We start from the raw sequence: 6,456 nt of genomic DNA, 5'->3' as shown, positions 1-6,456 counted from the left end.
TCTATATATAATATATATATATATAAAAAACATTAAACTATGTTACTTATTATTTTTTTACATAAAGTGTATATTGTATACAGTTTAAAAAGTCCCAGCTAAGCAAGCCACATGTAGACGAATGAAACTGGGTCCCCATCCCTCACCTTATAGAAAAATCAACTCAAGATGGATAAAAGACTTAAATCTAAGACCTGAAACCATAAAAATTCTAGAAGATAACATTGGAAAAACTCTTCTAGGCATTGACTTAGGCAAAGAATTCATGATTAAGAACGCAAAAGCAAATGCAACAAAAACAAAAATAAATAGATGGGACGTAATTAAACTAAAAAGCTTCTGCACAGCAAAAGAGATAACCAACAGAGGAGTTAACAGAGAACTCCGGAGTGGGAGAAAATATTCTCAAACTATGCATCTGAAAAAGAACTAATATCCATAATCTACAGGTAACTCAAACAATTCAGAAGGCGAAGACAAATAATTCTATCAAAAAGTGGGCAAAGGAATGAATAGACAATTTTCAAAATAAGATATATAAACAACCAAAAAACATATGAAAAAAATGCTCAATATCACTAATGATCAGGAAAATGCAAATTAAAACCACAATGAGATACGACCTTACTCCTGCAAGAGTGACCATAATTAAAAAGTGAAAAAACAATAGATGCTGGCATGAATTTGTTGAAAAGGGAACACTTTTACACTGCTGGTGGGAATGTAAATTAGTACAACCACTATGGAAAACAGTATGGAGATTCCTTAAAGAACTAAAAGTAGAACTACCATTCAATGTAGCAGTCCCACTACTAGATATCTACCCAAAGGAAAAGAAGTCATTATATGAAAAAGACACATGCACACACGTTTATAGTGGCACAATTTGCAATTGTATAAATGTGGAACCAATCTAAGTTCCCATCGGCCAAGTGGATAAAGAAAATGTTGTATATATACACCATGGAATACTACTCAGCCATAAAAAGAAATGGAATAATGTCTTTTGCAGCAACTTGGATGGAGCTGGAGGCCATTATTCTAAGTGAAGTAACTCAGGAATAAAAAACTAAATACCATATGTTCTAAGTGGGAGGTAAGCTATAAGGATGCAAAGGCATAAGAATGTTATAATGGACTTTGAGGACTTAAGGGGGAAGGGTAGGAGGTAGGTGAGGGATAAAAGACTACATATTGGAGCAAGAAGCAGCTTCTCCACTCCTACTGGAATTTCTGCCTGGTTCAGCCCGCTCAGCTCCTCGAACTTCTCTTAAGTGGGCAGCAGCAGCTTCCGAGGTGGCCTGGGTGGAGGCTATGGTGGGACCAGCGGTGTGGGAGGCATCACCACCGTCCCGGTCAACCAAAGCCTGCTGAGCCCCCTTAACCTGGAGGTGGACCCCAATATCCAGGCCATGCGCACCCAGGAGGAGCAGATCAAGACCCTCAACAAGTTTGCCTCCTTCGTCGACAAGGTAAGGTCCCTAGAGCAGCAGAACAAGATGCTGGAGACCAAGTGGAGCCTCCTGCAGCAGCAGCAGACGGCTCGGAGCAACATGGACAACATGTTTGAGAGCTACGTCAACAACCTTAGGTGGCAGCTGGAGACTGGGCCAGGAGAAGCTGAAGCTGGAGGCGGAGCTTGGCAACATGCAGCCGCTGGTGGAGGACTTCAAGAACAAGTATGAGGATGAGATCAATAAGCGTACAGAGATGGAGAATGAATTTGTCCTCATCAAGAAGGATGCAGATGAAGCTTCCATGAACAAGGTAGAGCTAGGGTCTCGCCTGGAAGGGCTGACTGACGAGATCAACTTCCTCATGCAGCTATATGAAGAGGAGATCCGGGAGCTGCAGTCCCAGATCTCAGACACGTCTGTGGTGCTGTCCATGGACAACAGCTGCTCCCTGGACATGGACAGCATCATTGCTGAGGTCAAGGCACAGTAGGAGGAGATCGCCAACTGCAGCCGGGCTGAGGCCGAGAGCATGTACCAGATCAAGTATGAGGAGCTGCAGACGCTGGCTGGGAAGCACGGGGATGACCGGCGGCGCACAGACTGAGATCTCCTAGATATACGGGAACATCAGCCAGCTCCAGGCTCATGTTGACCAGAGGGCTTCCCTGGAGGCCGCCATCACAGATGCCGAGCTGCACGGGGATTTGGTGGTTAAGGATGCCAACGCCAAGCTGTCCGAGCTGGAGGCCGCCCTGCAGCGGGCCAAGCAGGACATGGCGTGGCAGCTGCGTGAATACCAGGAGCTGATGAACGTCAAGCTGGCCCTGGACATAGAGATCGCCACCTACAGGAAGCTGCTGGAGGGCAAGGAGAGCCGGCTGGAGTCTGGGATGCAGAACAGGAGTATCCATAGAAGACCACCAGTGGCGGTGGAGGTGTGCTGAGCTCAGCCTATGGGGGTCTCACAAGCCCGGTCTCAGCTATGGCCTGGGCTCTAGCTTTGGCTCTGGCGCGGGGTCCCCCTCCTTCAGCCGCACCAGTTCCGCCAGGGCCGTGGTCGTGAAGATGATTGAGACCTGCGATGGGAAGCTGGTGTCCGAGTCCTCTGACATCCAGCCAAAGTGAAAAGCTGTGGCAGCCCCTCTCAGCCTGCCCCTCCTGCGGCTGCCCCATAGCCCATAAGGGAGGCTGCTGTGCAGGGGAGCACAGGGAACAGAAGACCCACCTCAGGCTCAGCCCCAGCCCTCAGCCCAGTCAATGCATACACAGGCTTCCCAGTAACCTAGGCTGGCCCCCGAAAAGGAGCTGGACTAACTGGATTCTTGCTCTTGATAATTTGAATTTTAAAACTCATAAGAAATGAGGTGATTGGCAACAGGAACTGAAGCTTAAAGTATTAAATAGATTTTTTTAAAATATGAGAGTATGAGATAGATTTAATCTTCTGAGACAGAGTTAAGATGCAAGAGGTCATGGCAATCCCAAGTTATGAAGAAGCAGAGTCCATAAGGAAGAAGAAGTCATAGTCTGAATAGAAAACTTTCAGGGAAGAAGGAGGGAATAGGCAAGTCAAGAGTGAGAGAAGAGAAGAAAATTAGTAAAAGCAATAGAAGACCGTGTGTGGGCCATGAGACAGAAAGAAAGACTGAAAAAGAAATAAGGTCTGAGATAATACTAAGCATCTCACTAGATCTAGCTTGTCTCCAGCAGCTCATGTTTTTGGGTTCTGGTAGTGGCTAACGGCACTGGCTTTTATATCTGTAGTTCTATAATTCCATCTCAGTTCCTTTACCTACTAGCTATATAATCTTGAGCTGGACATTTACTAAAATTGCTATTTTTCTCACCTGTAAAAATGGGATAATACTACTAGCTTCATTGGACTATTAGGAGGATAAACTGATCTATGTAAGGGTCTTGGCATCATGATTGGCACATGGTGTGCACTCAATAAATGGTAGCTATTTTTATTCATACTATTGTTTTTATTATTCATTTAAATATATGTTAACATTTTCATTCACGATGATGAATGAAAACAAAACCTCTGCATCATGGAAGCAAAACAAAGCATCTTATCCATGGAGGTTACGTGTAATCTTTCCTATTGCATTTATTACCTTCACAAAAATCCTTATGACAGCTTGCTATTCACTTTATTTGAATTGTCTTAATTAAGACTCTATTTCTCATATCCAAAAATGCATAGTCAAAGCCAGCAGCCTGGTAGAGTGGAGAAGATAAAGAATTCAGAGTCATGCCTTTGAATCTAAAGTGTCTTCTTTTGACTTACATGCAGCCAATAAGCATATGAATAAAAAAAAAGCTCGCATCACTGATCATTAGGGAAATGCAAATAAAAAGCACAATGAGATACTATCTCACACAAGTCAAAATGGCTATTATTAAAAAGTCAAAAAATAAGAGATGCAGGCGAGGTTGCAGGCAAAAAGGAACACTTATACACTGTTAGTGGGAGTGTAAATTACTTCAACCCTTGTGGAAAACAGTGTGGTGATTTCTCAAAGACCTAAAAACAGAAATACCATTTGACTCAGCAATCCCATTACTGGGTGTACACCCAAAGGAACATAAATCATTCTATCAAAAATACACATGCATACATATGTTCATGACCACACTATTCACAATAGCAAAGACATGAAATCAATCTAAATGCCCATCAATGGTGGACTGAATAAAGAAAATGTGGTAAAGATAGCCATGGAATACTAAGCAGCCACACCAAAGAATAAGATCATGTCTTTTGTGGGAATATGGATGAAGCTGGAGGCTTTTGTCCTTAGCAAACTAACGCAGAAACAGAAAAGCAAATACAGCATGGTCTCACTTATAAGTGGGAGCTAAATGATGAGAGCACATGGACACATTGGGGGTGGTAACAACACACAGTGGGGCCTACTGGAGGGTGGAGGGTGGAAGGAGGGAGAGGATCAGGAAAAATAACTAATGGGTACTAGGCTTAATACATGGATGACAAAATAATCTGTACAACGAACCCCAATGACATGAGGTTACCTATATAACAAACATGCACATGTACCCCCCTGAACTTAAAAGTTAAATAAATTAATTGATTATCTTCTTTTGAAACATTTCTCAAACTTTCCATGCCACAATTTGCACACCTGGGAAATAAATAAAGTACATGAAAAATAACATAGATTATGGAAATCTTTTTTGAGATCATTAGAAGAAAAATACTAAATGGAGTCATCAAGGCATTATATTTATTTGTTCATAACACTATGAGCATTATTTCTATCATCCATGATTAAAAATTCTAAAGCATTCATATTTAAGAAAATATGTATACCATAGTGGTGGGGCTGAGAATTCAAAAATATTACTTTTACTAATAACCTCAGTTAAGAAGTCAGACAGCCAGGCATTGAGCCATCAGCAGAATATATTCCAAGTTAGGTATTTAGACAAAGAAATCTGATGTTCCATGTACTCAAAATTTATTTTCCTCTTATTATTTTTGATGAGCTGATGAAAATAAAAGGTTGTGTCCCTGCCATTTTTCAGTCATTGAAAAATTGTGACTCAGAGATCTTAAGATCCAAAGAGAATTGTGCATATGGTGATCTTTCAGCCTTCTATTCCATTTCATTAATTTATGTCTGGAAAAAAATGAATGAGAAATCAATGGCAAAGTCTAGACTGAATTCCAACAGCAGTCATAATTGTGAAAAATAATGGGCTGGGCTATTACTGTTTTATAACCATACATCAACAAAGCTCAGTAAAGAAGCATGTCAGTCATGAAGTTCACTACACGGAAGAGCCTCTGAGACTTAAAGGGAGCCCCCAATGCCCACATACTCAATAGACTACAAGGCATCGTTTCCCAGTGGAGACAAGCATCAGACGTGGGATCAGAAGAACTCAGTTTGATTCTTGGTGTTACCCTTTCTCTTCCTGATTTTATAAAATTCACATCACCCACTGAACCTCCACCTTTTCATATAGGGTGAAGATAGGGATACCTTCCTTGCTGTGAGGTTCAAAATCAAAATGAGAATGTAAACATGTCTGAAAAACAGTAATTATGTAATGAGTATATGTTGAATGAACTAGGCTGTAAATGAATTGGAAAATACTATTAAAAATATTTGAGAGAGCTGAAATTTCAATAAGAGATTTCAAAAATAGAGCTAAAACATCTATATTTCAGCCATGGTATTAATTACCTATTGGGATTGATACAAATTCCCTAACTACTGTGCCTCGATTTCCCATATGAACAACAGGAAGAAATGACAGGCCCTGGTTATATTGTAACACACAGATACACAGACACACACGATAACCAAATTAGTGCTAAATTTCATTTAAAATTCCCATATTCAGTCATTCAGTCAGCCATTCAACAAATATTTCTCTATCTTCTACTACATAGTTATCTTCTACTATGTGCCCAGCACTGTGCTAGTCACAAAGGGCAAAGCAAAGCACAAGACTCAATGTCTGCTTCTCTTAGAGTTTACATTGCAGTGTATTTGAACAAATAATTTGAAGACCACCTGATAAGTGGTGACTAGGAAAGTACATGAGTTGTGCGTTATTGCACAGAGAACCCTCACCCTCCTATTTATATTACCATGAGAATCCCACAAACCTAAACATTTCAGTGCTTTGGCTTTTGTAGGTAAGAGTTAAACCTATTGTGAGAGCCTAGCGGTCTCCTTGAGCTGAGTTGTCTGCGGGGAATGAGAGTCAGAAGTGACATCTGTCAACGCAGATGACACTGGCTGTCAGAAACAATTGCATCTTTAAGAAAGGATGAAGAAAATTCTCCTGCATGCTCCCAAGTGGGTGTGCCAGGTGTAATTGTTATGCAAGAGGGGACTTTTCAAATCAGCAGCTAAACCAGAGCTCAGAACAGCCTGGAAAGAAGCAACCCATCGTCAGGTGGCTGGCAAGCCTCCCTTTTGGAAGCATGCATATTCCTCCCCAGAAAGGAAATGCACCT

At 41.4% G+C, this 6,456-nt stretch overlaps 1 pseudogene, besides 2 other annotated features; it reads left to right on the top strand.

Annotated features, from left to right (window-relative positions):
- On the top strand, positions 1,201 to 2,710 carry KRT8P35 (keratin 8 pseudogene 35; annotated as a pseudogene).
- Positions 1,384 to 1,884: an enhancer, noted in NCBI's record as "H3K4me1 hESC enhancer chr3:63082748-63083248 (GRCh37/hg19 assembly coordinates)". NCBI's record gives its function as "activates a minimal SCP1, AML or CMV promoter by ChIP-STARR-seq in naive H9 embryonic stem cells {active_cell/tissue: H9 hESC(naive)}" and the evidence as "EXISTENCE:reporter gene assay evidence [ECO:0000049][PMID:30033119]".
- Positions 1,932 to 2,431: an enhancer, noted in NCBI's record as "H3K4me1 hESC enhancer chr3:63082201-63082700 (GRCh37/hg19 assembly coordinates)". NCBI's record gives its function as "activates a minimal SCP1, AML or CMV promoter by ChIP-STARR-seq in naive H9 embryonic stem cells {active_cell/tissue: H9 hESC(naive)}" and the evidence as "EXISTENCE:reporter gene assay evidence [ECO:0000049][PMID:30033119]".

The sequence above is a fragment of the Homo sapiens genome, chromosome 3 (genome assembly GCF_000001405.40).
Source record: "Homo sapiens chromosome 3, GRCh38.p14 Primary Assembly".
NCBI classification, from domain to species: Eukaryota; Metazoa; Chordata; class Mammalia; order Primates; family Hominidae; genus Homo; species Homo sapiens.
Note: the sequence above shows the minus strand (reverse complement) of the source record. Positions and strands in the feature narration are given on the sequence as shown.